Genomic DNA, 15,769 nt, shown 5'->3' on the forward strand with positions numbered 1-15,769 from the left:
AGGTGAGAGAGTTTGTGTGTTTGTGTGTGTGTATTGTTTGCCCAAGAGTACCTAAGAAAACATATTCTGAAGGCTCACTTGCTGCCTGCTCCATGATTGTGGCCTTTCAAGTGTGGTTTGCTAAAGAAATCAGGCACAGTACAGCAAATTGGAAAAATGAACTGGAACATCATAATCTACCTCAGCTAGAGCAAAGAAAAAGGCATCTGGTAGACCACTTGGAAGCCAGCCAATGACGAAGACTTCAATTAAAATAAAGAACGTGTCCTCAGGAGAGCATCTCCGAGCTCAAGAAGTTATAAGTCCAGTGAGCTACTTGAAAGCCAACTACTAGAAAAAGCCATTTTCAAATAAAACAACCAAAGTGAGCAGGCTTTGAATTCTTCCAAGAAACCTCTTTCTGCATGTCTGTCCTAACTAATGATTTAATAGGAGTTAGACAGGCCACTACTCAATGCTGGAAACAGGCTGTTATACAAGAAGAGAAGCTATAGGTCTGCCTGTAATGTTTCTGGGGAAATTCAAATATTAGCATCAAGTTACAGGGGGTGCTATGGTGTGGCAGAGGGTGAGCTGGACTAGGAATTAGCAGACCTGGGTTCCAGTTCCAGCTTTGCCACTTTTTACTTGTGAGCCTTAGGCAGGAGACTTCATCCTTGTGGGTCTCAGTTTCCTCAGCTGAAAATGAGGTTACTAAAACCTGCATCATAGAAATAAAGGGAGAAGTACATGAAATATTCCATGGAGAGATGCTTAACACTAGTGCCTGGCATATAAAATGCTTACAACATGTTAGTTAAGGAGTATAAACCTGATAAAAGATAAAAATCATCTTTGCTAAAAATCAGCTATTGATGTTCATATTAGAGTAATGGAATCTGATATAAAGAGCATATATGAAATAAATACTCTAACCCTTAAGATAATGTTGTGTTTTCCTGAAGAAGAATCATGTGACTATGGAAGGGACAAAAATAATTTTGTAGAGTCCCAGCAACAGAAACAACTGGACACCAAGGCATCGAATCTCCACTCAATAAAAGAAATAAAGGGTCGGTGGTTGCAAATGTAATGAGGGTTCTGTAGAATGAAGTTGCACAGAAATTTTCAATAGACATGCAGTCTACTTACTTCTTGGTATATCAATAACAGAGTTTTTTGTTAATATTCTTGATATAAAATTTTTAACAAGACCATTTCTCTATTATAATTATTCCCAGAAATGCCAGTAACCATGAAGTTAAACATCTGAATGAATTCAAGAGAATTAGCATAGATTATGACCCTAACTCTTTTAAAAAATTTATTTTAATTGACATAAAAACTGTTTATCATGTATAACATGTTATTCTAAAACATAGTTAATTATTGTATATGGTATGAGATGAGGGTCTAACTTTATTCCTTTGCATGTAAATATCCAGTTGCCCAAACACCATTTCCACATTGTTTAATGGTTAAGTCTACCTAATTAATGTGTGCATTACTGCGCATACTTATTTTTTTGTGATGAGAACACTTAAAATCTACTTTCCTAGCAATTTTCAAGAATATAATACATTGTTATTAACTATAGTCACCATGTTGTATGATAGATCTCTTAAGTTTATTCTTCTTATCTAACTTTATTCTTTTGCATGTAGATATCCAGTTGCCTAAACATGATTTAGACACTGTAAAACGTATATTTTGGATATTAACCCCTTAATATCCAAATGTGTAAGGGGTTTTTGGATGTAAACCCTTAATATCCAAATCTCCAGAGGTATGGTTTGCAAATATTTTCTCCCATCCTGTAGATTGTCTTTTCACTCTGTTGATTGTTTCCTTGGCTGTGCAGAAGTTTTTTAGTGTGATATAATCCATTTGTCTTTTGCTTTTATTTTGGGGTTCATATTTTAAAAAATCATTACTCAGACCAGTGATATGGAAATTTTCCCCTATGCTTTCTTCTAGAAGTTTTATAGTTTCAGGTCTTACATTTTGTCTTTAATCCATTTTGAATTAATTTTTATATCTGGTGTGAGATGAGAGTCTAACTTTATTCTTCTGCATTTGGATATCCAGTTGTCTAAACACTATTTATTGAAGAAACTCTCCTTTCCCTATTGTGTTTTCTGGCATCTTTGTCAAAAATCAATTCGCTATAAAGGCATGGGTTTATTTCTGGGCTCTTTATTCCATTCCATTGGTCTACTTGTCTCTTTTTATGCCAATACCATGCTGTTTATGCTGTTTGGATTATTAAAGCTTTGTAGTATATTTTGGAGTCAGGTTATGTGATACCTCTAGCTTTGTTTTTTGGGGTTTTTGTTTTGTTTTGTTTTGTTTTGCTCAAGATTACTTTGGCTATTCAGGGTCTTTTGTAGTTCCACATAAATTTTAGGATTTTTTCTATTTCTGTGAAAAATGTCATTGGGATTTTGATAGGGATGGTTTTGAGTTTTTAGATCACTTTGGGTAATATAGACATGTTAACAATATTAATTCTTCCAATTCATGAACATGGTATGTCTTTCCACTTATTTGTTCCTTCATTTATTTTTATCAATATTTTATGGTTTTCAGTCTTTCTTTCACATCCTTGGTTAAATTTATTCCTTTTCTTTTTTTTCTTTTTTTCCTTAGATGGAGTCTCGCTCTGTCACCAGGCTGGAGTACAGTGGCGTGATTTTGCTCACTTCAACCTCCGCCTCCCGGGTTCAAGCAATTCTCCTGCCTCAGCTTCCTGAGTAGCTGAGTAGGTGGGCATGCGCCACCCTGCCCAGCTAATTTTTGTATTTTTAGTACAGACAGGGTTTCACCGTGTTGGCCAGATAGTCTCAATCTCTTGACCTCGTGATCCACCCACCTCAGCCTCCCAAAGTGCTGGGATTACAGGCATGAGCCACCATGCCCGGCCGGTTAAATTTATTCCTAAGTGTTATGCCTGTAACTCTTGAAAAAGTAATTCTTAAATAAACATCAATTAATATTCTAGAGATAATTTGTTCATTGAGACTTTTTTATTCACTAAGCACAAACAAAACCCATCTCTGCCAGGCCTTCTGTATTATTATAACATTTAAATTGATCTGTGTTTGTGTATCTTTCTCTTCAGCCAGTCAGGAGTGTCTTGTAAGTAGAGGATGACTGTTACTCCTCTTTAAATCTTCAGCTACTATCAGAAAGACTGGCATATAGTATATACAAAAAAAAAAAAAATGTTCAATGAATGAATGAAAGAATTCACCAGGAGCAATGCCTTGGAGCGGGATATATAAGTTTTGTAGCTTGTATATCTAGATAAGGGCTGGGGAAGGGGAGGAAAGGGGCATTAACAGAAGGTAAATGATAGAAATAGACTCACCTTATACTTCAGAGTTTAGCTTGGAGGAGATGGTCCTTACATTCCCAAATCCAAACAATTGCTTTATTGGGCTGCTGACCCCAGGAAAGATAAAGTTCATTAGTAAACACTGTCTTCCTATTTGAAAACTGATGGATAAAGTCTGAAATAAAGGTAGGCCAACTATGACTCCCAAAACTAATGACTGCTGATTACAATAGAAGAAATCCCCCATCCCCTGCTACAGAGACAGCCTGCCCTCCAGCAGATGTGGAGGAATAATGCCTTTGCTCTCTTGGGAGATTCAGAGGGATCTGAAAACTGTCAGGCCTTGAGAAGTGGGAGTAGGTTTTTTGTGAAGCCAAGGATATGTGGATTCCAGGAGTCTGTGCCAGAGAACCAGGGCCTGACAAAGAAAATCCCCTTAAAAGTGGTAAGAGAAAAGAAACCAAAACCAAAACATGAATAAAAAGCACAGAAAAAAAATGGAAGAAGCTAGTTTTTTCGCCAGCTTTGCAACTGTACTGAATAAATTTGTGAATAATAAGAAGAGGAGGAAGTCTAGGATCCTGATTTGATAAGGCCTTGTAAACATGTCTCTCATTGTTACCTTTCTCTTCTGACTTTTAATGGAGAGAAGCACATATAATAAATGAGTCTGCATCATCAGATGGAGTATTAGCATTTGGGCTGATTTCTTCCTAATGCTTTAACACACAACTTCAGTTCAAAGAAGCCACATGTGCAGATGCCTTTTCCACAAGAAAGAAAATTGAGAGAGAATAGAGGCATTGTCCATCCCACTGCCATAACCTTTCACAGCCAGAGATCATAAAAGCCCTTACTGTTGGCCAAATGCTGGTCCCTTCATCTGGGAGTGGGCAGCACTTTGAGGAGGAAGGGAAGATGAAGGTTTCTCTAGGGTATCTCATTATCACACCAATTGGAAGGCCACCCTGAAAGTGAGACTCTACAGTGCCCAATACACACACATGGAATTCACTAATGAACTTGTCTTTTCTATGAAAGTCCCCTTCACTCTGTTTTGTCTTAAAACCACACTACCTGCAGCACTGGAGAACAGAAAGGAGCCACACAGTTCTGGGGTCTGACCCTGGCTTTGCCCTTCACTGGCTGCCCCAACTTAGACAAGTTCATTACCTTCTCTAAGGTTGTTCAATCTTTCTAAAGAATACAGAGTGTGTTACCTCTCTTAAGGGTCACCTAGAGGATTGAATGAGCGAGCCTGTGTGAAAGTGCCTGGCAGGTGGTGAAAACTTAATTAATATGAGTTTCCTTGATGCTCTTATTCCAGAGCAGAACTACTCACCAAGGGGACCTGTCAGGCTTAGCCTCTTTATTCCACATTTCTCCCCACTCACCACAGTAGCTTGGCCAATATTATGGGACAGAAGTTACCTAGTCCATGATGCCAAATCTCATGTCATTTTCTAGAATGTCTATTATGAAGTTTGTGAGGCCAGGCACAGTGGCTCATACCTGTAATCCCAGCATTTTGGGAGGCCAAGGCAAGAGGATTGCATGAGCCCAGGACTTCAAGACTGGCCTGAGCAACAGAGGGAGACCTTGTCTCTCCAAAAATTTTTTTTAAAATTAGCTGGGCATGGTGACACGTGTGCATGGTGGCAGGTGCCTGTGGTCCCAGCTACTTGGGAGGCAGGAGGGAGGATCCCTTAGGCCCAGGAGTTTGAGGTTGCAGGGAGCTATGATCACATCACTGCATCCAGCCTGGGCAACAAAGTGAGACCCCGTCTCTTAAAAAAAGTTTGCTCAGCCCAGTTACTCAGGAGGCTGAGGCAGGAGAATCGCTTGGACCCAGGAGGTGGAGGTTGCAGTGAGCCAAGATCGTGCCACTGCACTCCAGCCTGGACAACAGAGCGAGACTCTGTCTCAAAAAAAAAAAAAAAGTTTGCTCAGGAGACTGACGCAGGAGAATCGCTTGAACCCGAGAGGTGGAGATTGCAGTGAACCAAGATCGTGCCACTGCACTCCAGCCTGGGTGACAAGAGTGAAACTCCATCTCAAAAAAAAAAAATTGTGAGCCCCCAAATTGTCAGCTTCAGGTAAGTATGGCAGAGCTACAAAACCCAACACCATCCATGATTTTGGAATTCTCTTGGCTCTTGAAAATAACATGAATAGTAATAGCAACAATAATGAAATTCTGCTACTTTTAGTAGCTTATAAGTAAGTTAAATAGTTTGCTAGGAATCTTATGTAATAATTATAACTTAAAGGAGTTATTATTTTTGAGCAGTTATGTGCCATTGTAATGTGTATTATCTAAGAACAAGCATATAAATAATAATAGCTAATATTCACTTAAGCTCTTAAAATCTGCCTGGCACTCCCTCCCCCCTTGTATAGGAAGTTAGGCTCCAAGAAGGAAGCGACTTGCTTAAGGCTACGCAGCTCATAACTGGCAAAGCTGGGATATCAATTTAGGACTAATTCCAAAGGGTGTGCTTTTAGTCACTATACCTTGCTCCTTTTGTGAGAAATCAGTTTCAGGTGAGATAACCTCAGAGCATGGAATGTTCCCAGAGCCATAGAATGACCCTGGAGATAAAGGGCTGCCTTAAATCAGATAGTATCTACTTTGGCCCACTCTAAATTTAGGGCCTCTGAACGCCCCTGCTCTTCAATCTGCACCCTCAAAAACATGCCCCTTAAGGGAGTGGCTACAATCTGAGAGTGTTGTGTCCCTTGATCCAGCCCAGGATTAGACATCATAGATTTGTTTTGGGTGAATACCCTTTCTTATTTCCCAGCCACAACCAACCAACCTACTGTGGGACCTGGGACTGCATCCTGGGAGGACTGTTTTAAGGAGTAACTTTTGGGCTGGGTGTGGTGGCTCACGCCTGTAATCCCAGCACTTTGGGAGGCCGAGGCGGGCATATCACAAGGTCAGGAGATCGAGACCATCCTGGATAATGCAGTGAAACCCCATCTCTACTAAAAATACAAAAAATTAGCAGGGTGTGGTGGCAGGTACCTGTTGTCCCAGCTACTCGGGAGGCTGAGGAAGGAGAATGGCATGAACCTGGAAGGCGGAGCTTGCAGTGAGCCAAGATTGTGCCACTGCACTCCAGCCTGGGCGACAGAGCGAGACTCCATCAAAAACAAAAAACAAAAACAAAAAAACAAAAAACAAAAAACAAAAAAAAAAAAAAAAAAAAAGGATTAACTTTAGCAATGGCAGAGGTGCAGTCACTTATAATTGTAAATTCCAGGACCTGGAGTAGGTGCAGTCACTTATAATTGTAACTTCCAGGATCTTGATAGTAGCATTCTCATGCTGCTATAGAGAACTGCCTGATACTGGGTAGTTTATAAAGGAAAGAGAATTAATTGACTCACAGTTCCTCATTGCTGGGCAGGCCTCAGGAAACCTACAATCATGGCAGAAGGCACCTCTTCACAGGGTGGCAGGACGGAGTGAGAATGAGTGCCAGCAGGGGGAATGCCAGATGCTTATAAAACCACCAGATCTCATGAGAACTCATTCACTATCAGGAGAACAGCGTGGGGAAACCACCCCCATGATTCAATTACCTCCCATTGGATCCCTCCCACAACATGTGGGGATTATTACAATTCAAGGTGAGACTTGGGTGGCGGGGACACAGAGCCAGAGCATATCAGTTTCTTTTTTCTGAAATGCCTCATCCACCTTCTTACTGTGGTCTGGTGCTTCCCTAACAAGTGAAAAGTCTTCACTGTGGGAGGTGATTGGTCCTGGAAAAGAGAACTTAAATGCAAACCAAGGTGGAAATACCCAGTGTGTTTCTATATTGGAGATTTCTATATTGGGAAGGAGAGGGAACTTGGATGCCTAGAAATGGAAAAGAGAAAAGGATGTACTTAGAAAAGGCCAGAGACACCCCCAAACAATACACCTCTTATAGTCGAGCCAAGAACAGAGCCCACCCTGAATTAGTGTGACAGCCTGCAACAAATGGCTGGGAGCCACTGGATTATAGGAACGTGGCTGAGGTATGGGAGGTGTGAAAAGGAAACCAGAAAAGTTAAGAGCCCTGGCTCTGGAATCAGATGGGATTTCAAATCTCACTTTTGCTACTTGACAGCTGTGCATGACCATTGGGAAAGTGTTTTATAGTCATTGAGCCTGTCTGTCTCCTCCCTCACAAAATGGAGATGGTACTAATACCTCTCACTCTCTTTGCCAATGAAACAAAAAAATACACATAAAGCATTTCTAACAATGATTGACAAACAGTTGGTGTCTGATAAATGTTATTGACAATGATACTGTTAGTTAATGCCATTAACTTTCACCAGCCTCCCAACTCTCCCTCATTCAGAGGGAATGATTAGGGAAGTTCATCTTCATGGGTTTGGAGCGCTGACAAATGTCCTGTGGAAAAAGACCATGGAGGAGCAAGGGATCAGGAGAGGAAGGCAGGAGTGTGGATTCCATTAGCATTGGGGTCTGATGACCATGGGGCTTCAGAAGCACTTCTGAGAGCAGCTAAGACTCCAGATGCTTCATTTTTTACAAAGTTGCTTAATGCAGAGCACAAATACTTTATTATTTCCACTGAAAACTCCAAACTTTCTGCTCCTACCTGGTAGGTAAATATTCTCTTCCCCATTTGCAGGGTGGTAAAAACAAGGCCTGACAGACCCTTGCCAGGGCCTGAGTGTGCACAGCGGGCCCTGAGGCTGCTTTGTCCAGGGGCAGCCCCACATCTGCTGGCTCAAGCAAGTCGATTGGCTGTCGGAGTAGCTCGTCTTTGCCTCGTTCCTGAGTCCTGAGAAAATGATCAGCCGCCCGAGAGGATGTGTTACAACTCAGTGCTTTTTAAGCTCCCCCAACACTGTTTCTGCAAAAGTTGCTCAATTTCAAAATGATCTTTTTACCAAAGCTTGATTTCTACAGGTTGAAGCCTTCCTGTGACACATGGCAAGCAGGCTGGAAGTCAAGTGGTGTTTCCCTTACAAATTACCCAGAATGCTAAGAATGATATATAATCTGTGCCTGAGCCCTCGAGCTGTCTCAGACATGGTGATGGAAACCAGGTAGCTGTCTGCTCGCAGGCAGTCACACATGGCTCTGGGTGGAGCCTAGAATCACAGGGAGATTTCTCGTAAAACCGAGAAATACGGCACTGTCCTCCAGAGAGGAAGAGCATGTGACCTGCTTTATTGCTGTGCCTTTGAGCCCATGAGTCGCCGATGAACTTCAGTGGCTCTTCCTGGCTGACCTGTTGCATGTGGTGTTCATCTCCAAACAGCTTCATAGTTAACACAGGAAATTCATGGTGTTGATCTGTTTGAGAAGCAATTTAAGGCTTAAGGTGCCTGTGCTTTCTTCTTCCCATCATCATTTCTTCTGTGGCTAATATACTATCTGCATACTCCCTTTCCTCATGGCACCTGCTGCTTTAGCCAACATTAATTCCTATAAATTACTAGAAAAGAGAAGCCTTCCGAGACAGAACCACTTAGGTCCAACCTAATGCTCCAAGAGGGCAGGGTTTTAGTCTAACTTGGTCACCACTGTCTCTTCAGTGCCTAGCATAGCACCTAAATCAGAGTAAGTGCTGAAAGCAAATTTATAATAAACTAGGGACTCTTGGGACTCACTTTCTGAAGGTAGAAGCTACCAAAAATTACCAGGACCAAATTATTGCCTTTTATAAACCAATGCCAGATCTACAGTTTTAGTAGTTAGGCTTCACTTTAGTTAACTACTAGATTTAAAATCGCAGCAAAATGATAGGTAATATTTTACTGCATGAATACTGTGCTATCTCTTAAAGGTTTGTCATTAGGACCTCTTAAACACTCTTGGAAGGGAGCTACTTTAGAACTAGTAGGTCTCTCCTGTCTTCTTCTGATTATTACAGAAAAACTCTTCTCTCTGTATCACGAGTCCCCACACCACCCCCCCCACCCCCCCGCCCCATTGCTTCACTTGACAACCAGAGAACTCTCCATTCCTGCTAACCAGAAGGCAATTCTTGAAAGGCGCCTTGGGTTATACTCATGTATAAAGAAAGTCTGAAATTAGGAAGTAAAAGAACATGTTAAGGTTGCCCAGTGTCAGGTTGGGTTCCTCCAAAACAGACCCTGAGATGAAGATATGTATAAAATGAATGTATAAGATGCTCCCGGGGATTCTGGTAAGAAAATGAGGGAAACAGAGTAGGGAAAGGGAGGAAAGCAAGCAAGCAAGCATGTGGCTCAGCCAAAGCCCCACAGAGGATCTCACCCTGATCTCTAAGGAAGTTCTGGAGCCTGAGTTACACCTCAGCATTGTCTGCTCTAAGGGACTTCCATCTCCATCTGTCATTGGTTAAAAGATGCATCAGGGAGAATAGGAATCTCCAGGTGTTTCAATTTCTCATGAATGTGGGCAAAGCAGGCTCTGGTAGCCTAAGTGTGGACCCCCAGAGGACAAGGACAGGTGTGCTGTGTGAGTGGGGAGGGTGGGTGTGATATCCATAGAAGGGGACCCCAGGGGACCTGTGTGGCGCAACTACACCCACTGCCTGGGCTTCTGGCTGGTGAGCACGACTCTCCTATCATCATGCAATGCAGCTCCCAATCAGTAACCAAGTCTTTTCCGGAAAGTCTGACGCTATGGTCTCATTTTCCAAAGGCTGAGCTATCAAAATGCTTTCAGGAGCCGACCAGGAGTCATGGAAGTGGAATATTTTGAGGGGCCCCTGCTAATTCCTAATTCCTTGCCTGAAACTCCACTGTTAGATATTTCTTTGGCCTAGGGTAACCTGTGTCAAAATATGTTGTCTGGAAGGGGCATTCCACTAATGCAATCACAGCCATGACTCCTTTCATGAGGTTCATTGTTCCAATTCTCCAGTCAGCTCCCCCTAAGGAGAATAAGCCTTGATGTGGTCAGGTGTGATGAAGTGAAAGCGTAATGGGAGAAGTGAGGGTGGGGAAGGTCCCCAGGGTTGAGGTGCTGTCTGGAAGGGAGCCACAGAAGAAGGAGCAAGACACAGGCACCTAATGGGGCAGGGGCAGTGAATGTGAAAGGAAAGGATTTGGGGCAGGAGTGAGTGGAGCACAAAATGATAGGGTGCCAGAGAGGGACAGCACTGTCACAAGAGCAGCTTATCCCACATTTCTGTTGGGGGACAATCTGTTGGGGTAAAGCTTATCTCACATTTCTGACTTCCCATCCATTGGAAGAAATGTACAGTCCTTAAACAGAAATCTGGCAAAATAGGTTCTGCCTTCCAGGGATTCTCCCTAAGGCATCCAGATGCAGTTACATTCTCCTTTTGTATAATATGTGTTCTCCTCTTCCTCCTTAGTAGGAGAGCCCTGATTCTGTTGAGTGTGCCAATGTTACCAAAAAAGTATTTTCTCCTCCCTAGGCTTCCTTGTAGCCAGGGGTAGATTTGCTTTGGTTCTGGCTATTGAGATGTAAATGGTCATCCAGATAGGGCTTGGGGTAAAGCTTGCTAAAGGAGGACAACTCAACTGACAAGTCCCTTTTCAGCTTTTGCCTTTGGTTCTTCCCCTTTTTCCTGCCTAGGACTAGATGTGATGACTGGAGGGGGAGCAGCCATCTTGTGTCCATGAAGACAGGAACACAGATTAAGGAGGATGGAGCAGAAAGGCGAAGGGAACTAGGACCCCTTATGGTCTGATGGCACTGCAGTGCTAACTCTGGACTGTCTACATCTGGAACATGTGTCAGTGAGAACAATACTACATTTTGGTTAGACTATTTTTCCTGAGTTCCTGTTACATATGTAATCTGTCTACCAAAGGCTAAAGATGGAAGAAGGGGCTAGGTATTCACGTTTCAGTTCTTTTTGGCTCTCCTCTTTTTTTCAAAGTGGCCTGTCCTCAGGATATAGAGATTCTTTGTTTCTCCTTGCACCATGCTCACTATGTGGGTTCTACCCGTTGGTGGTGACAGGGAATAGTCTGCAGCTAGGTGGGTAAGCTCAGTTCAGAGAGGAAACTGTGAGGAAGCCCAATTGTGGCCACACATCTAAGCACTCTGTAATCTTTAAAATCTCCTTATCAGAGACAAAGCTCATATGTGGCCCTCCATCTGCCTAATTTCTGGTCCATCCCTTTTTTTTTTTTTTTTTTTGAGACAAGATCTCACTCTGTCAACCAGGCTCAAGTGCAGTGGCACGATCTTGGCTCACTGCAGCCTCGACCTCCCAGGCTCAAGCGATTCTCCCACCTCAACCTCCCAGGTAAATGGGACTACATGTGTGTGACTCCACACTCGGCTAATTTTTTTGTAGAGATGAGATTTCGCCATGTTGCAGGCTGGTCTCGAATGCCTGAGCTCAATCAGTCTGCCTGCCTTGGCCTCCCAAAGTGCTGGGGTTACAGGCATAAGCCACCAGACCCAGCTGTGTCCATCTCTTAATAGGTCTAGAATTTGGAGAAGAATCTTATGCGAAGGTGCTTTGGGCCCCTCACACTCCAGAACCGTTTTGCCAACCGACAAAGCTGCCTTAATGGCTTTACAAACCCATTTCTTAGTAGTCTATAGGTTGGTGCAAAAGTAATGGTGGTTTCTGCCATTACTTTTGCACCAACCTAATAGATCCCATGTATGCCACTGAGAGAGAAGTAGAGACTGAATATGATCTTTCTTATTGCTGTATGCACACCACTGCCACCCACACAAATGCTCAGAGCACATGCAATGCTCTTACACAAATATTCTCTCCTACAACAGCTTGAGAGGTGAGAGGCTGTCTCCTGAGAGATGTATGCTTTACAAGCCTGCATGTGGAATCCAGTCCATTTACTAATAGGTACCCACTGAGCATTTCCTTATTAAGTAAGTTCCTCTACTAGATATAAGCTCCATGAGGGCAAACTTGGTCTAGCTGTTTACCATTGTGTGCCCAGAGCCTGGAAGGGAGGCTAAATAAGAAGTGCTCAATAGATAATATATATATAATTTTACATATATAATATATAATCTATGTAATATATATTTATATATATGATTATATATAATTACATATAATTAGTTTTACAAAGGCAGTTTAGTTTTGGGACTATATATTATATATGTAATATAATATAGATAATAGATAATTATATATGTAATATAATATAATATAGATATACACTTATGTGTATATATAATATATATAATATAAATATATATAATATAGATAATATACACTTACGTATATATTTCTTAAATGAATGAACAAATTAATGAAGTCATCTCCAAGTAAGCTAAATTATTTAGTTAGTTTCCATCTATCTAAGTGAAAACTGATTTTGGATGATTTCCTCTACTTTTTAGTCAACTCAGCACTGTTCTTTAATGATTCAATCTCTTGAAAGTACCTTCTAATGGGCTTGGTTATTTTATTTATTCTGTTTTGCTCAATCGCAGATAAATTTGCATTCGATTGGTCCTAAATGGTTGGCAAAGACCGATCCTTGGCTAAGACTCATCTAACCATAACAAGACAAGCTGCATTTGGGCACTTTTCCACAGAAGCAAAAAAATATTTCCCACAAATATTCAATTCTTCATTTATGGGTGAACTGTTCTGCATGAATATTATCTATATGTTTTGAATTCCTTCTTCTTCCAGCTTTCCAGCATTTGCGATTTTCTTCTAATAAATGATTGGAAGGGTACACGAAAGGAGGTGCATCTCAAACCAGTTTATGTTGCCAAGTAAAAGTAGTTCAGTTACCTGCAACTCCTGCATATTGAACTCTGAATTCTGCTTTCTCCTTCTTGCATGCATGCCCATGAGGTTCTCTCTGAAATCCAGTCCTCTCACTCATTTTTATATGCAAACTCTGTCTTTCAGGGCCCAGTCCATGGGGTGTTTTCTTCATGAAAACTCTCTGTAGACGGACTTAAATGCTTTCACCTCTCTGCACCCAAAAGCACCAGATTTGAAGGTTTCTTAGAATGGATTCTTCCTGCCTTTTGCACAGACAAAATCAATTCCCTGAGACCACAGTATTGCAGTAAGGAAAGAGTTTAATTAACACAAGGCTGGCCACACAGAAGATGGAGTTATTACTCAAATCGTCTCCCGGAAGGCTCAGAGGTTAGGGTTTTTCAAGGATAGTTTGGTAGGCAGAGGTTTAGGAAATGGGTGCTGCTGCTTGGTTGGGGATGAAATCACAGGGGTGTGGCCTATGATTTCACGGTCCTCGGGCACTGTGTCTGCCTCTGGGTGGGGCCAAAGGACCAGTTGAGTGACAAGTCACAGGTCTGGGTGGAGTCAGCTTGTGGTTAGCAATGCAGAAGTCTGAAAAGACATCTTTAAAGGCCAATCTTAGGTTCCACAATAGTAATGATAACATCACTACAGGAGTAACTGGGGAAGTCACAAATCTTGTGACCTCCAAAACAATGGCTGGTTATCATTTAACTATGCCTACATTTTAGCAGAATTTGGGCCCCTCTCACAATCCTAACTTTGTGGCCTTTTGTTAGTTTTACAAATGCAGTTTAGTTTTGGGACTATAAACTAAATTCCTCTCAAAGTTCACTTGGCCTACACCCAGGAATTACCAAAGACAGCTGGGAGGCTAGAAGCAAGATGGAGTCAACAGTGTCAGGTTCCTCTTACCATCATAATTTTGCAATGGAGGTTTCATTAGCACTTATCATATTTTGATGGAAATTCATCAGAGCGATTAAGCACATAGGCTTTGATCCAGACTCACTGAGTTCAAATCCTGGCTCTATGCCTTACTGGCTGTGTGATCTGGGGCAAATGACTTTATCTCTCTCTGCTTCAGTTTCTCATCTTTTACAAAAGAAAGGATAATGGTAGCATTGGGCCCAGCATGGTGGCTCAGGCCTGTAATCCCAGCACTTTGGGAGGCCAAGGTGAGAGGACTGCTTGAAGCCAGGAGTTCAAGACCATCCTGGACAAAATAGTGAGGCTTCATCTCTACAAAAATTAAAATAATTATCTGGGCATGGTAATGTGTGTCTGTGGTCCCTATTCAAGAGGCTGAGGTAGGAAAAGCACTTGAGCCCACGATGTCGAGGCTGCAGTGAGCCATGATTGGGCCATTGCACTCTGGCCTGGGTTGCAGGGTGAGACCCTGTCTCAAAAAAAAAAAAAAAAAAAAAAAAAAAAAAAGGTAGTACCACCTACCCCATACTTTGTTCTGATGATTCAATGAGTTAAAACGTTTTTTAAAAAATCAAAACCAAACCACTTAGAAGAATGTCCAGCAGGTAACCAGTGATCAATAAATGTTAGCTTTTAAAAACATTATTATTGCTCTTTTACATGTTTGCCTCTTCAACTAGATGGTGATCTCCCAACAGGCCTTGATCTGTGAATTTGTCATCTTTCTACTTCTAAGTCCTAGAGCAGTACCTGGATCACAATTGAAGATCTATAAATGCCAAAGCAATGAATAAAAGCTAGCCATTGTATATGGAGATATAAGTAAGGTTTGGACATTGTCTGCAAGTGAGTTGCATATCTTAGAAAACTCTTGTAAGGGGCTGTATTTCATGTAACTGCATTTATGGCCATGGTAAAATGGCCAGCTCCAGGTCAGTTTTTCTGGGAAAGGCCCTAAGTTCTGAAGCTGGACTAGTGTCTCATCCAAGGAACATGCTCATTGGTAGGTGCTGAACCTCAAAGCCACTCCAAGATAACAAGGACAATTTTGGCAGGTGGTCCACTGGGGTCGATCAGGTGCTCATTGTATTTACCAAGGCATTTATTATGTGCACATAATTTAGGCTGGTGTTCAGAGGGGTTGGGATGGAGACTTGCCTCTGGTTGCTAGTAAACTATATTTTATAGGTTATTCCCAGCATTCCTGTGGCAGAGCTCCATTCTCCCCTTCTTCATTGCCCATAGAACTGTAATTTTCCTTCTTAGGTCAGTGATATGTTTGGCCCAAGACATTGGATCATGTTTGGCTTAGGCCAAACATGGAAATTGATTTTTCCCTTGTGATATAATCACTTTTCCAGATTCCCCTGTGACTAATGGCCTTATGATACTTTTTAATGAAGTTTAAGAGAAAGTCTCCTGGGGGAGACTTCTAGAAAAACTTTTGCTTTCTTGTTAAAAGGATAGGCACAAGAGAAGAATTATCTGGCACCACCTCTTTCTCTTTCTTAAACACAAAATGTGATCTCTGGAGCTATGGCATCCATATTGCAACCATGAGGCTACAAGCATGAGGATGAAAAACGAACACAAAAAGGATGAGTAAGTGCAGTGATAGAAAGAGCCTGGATCCTTGATGGCATTGTGGAGTTGCAAAACCAAGAGGCAGGACTGAGAGTGCTTGCCTTTGGACTTCTTGTTATAGTTTAAGCTATGGGTTAGTAAGCATTTTCTTAATAGGCCAGATAGTAAATATCTTAGGTCTTTTCACCACAGGGTCCTCATAGTCATTGCTCAAGTCTGCCATTTTATGCAA

The 15,769-nt window shown here is 41.8% G+C and overlaps 1 long non-coding RNA gene across 1 annotated transcript in view, besides 1 other annotated feature; it reads right to left on the minus strand.

The window, feature by feature from the left end:
• The window catches only part of LINC01894 (long intergenic non-protein coding RNA 1894), a 55,206-nt gene that overhangs the window by 18,087 nt on the left and 21,350 nt on the right, over positions 1-15,769 (minus strand). The gene's annotated exons all lie outside the window — the stretch shown is intronic.
• Positions 13,484-13,563: a silencer, noted in NCBI's record as "silent region_9369". NCBI's record gives its function as "represses an Ori minimal core promoter by ATAC-STARR-seq in GM12878 lymphoblastoid cells {active_cell/tissue: GM12878}" and the evidence as "EXISTENCE:reporter gene assay evidence [ECO:0000049][PMID:35858748]".

The sequence above is a fragment of the Homo sapiens genome, chromosome 18 (genome assembly GCF_000001405.40).
Source record: "Homo sapiens chromosome 18, GRCh38.p14 Primary Assembly".
NCBI lineage: Eukaryota > Metazoa > Chordata > Mammalia > Primates > Hominidae > Homo > Homo sapiens.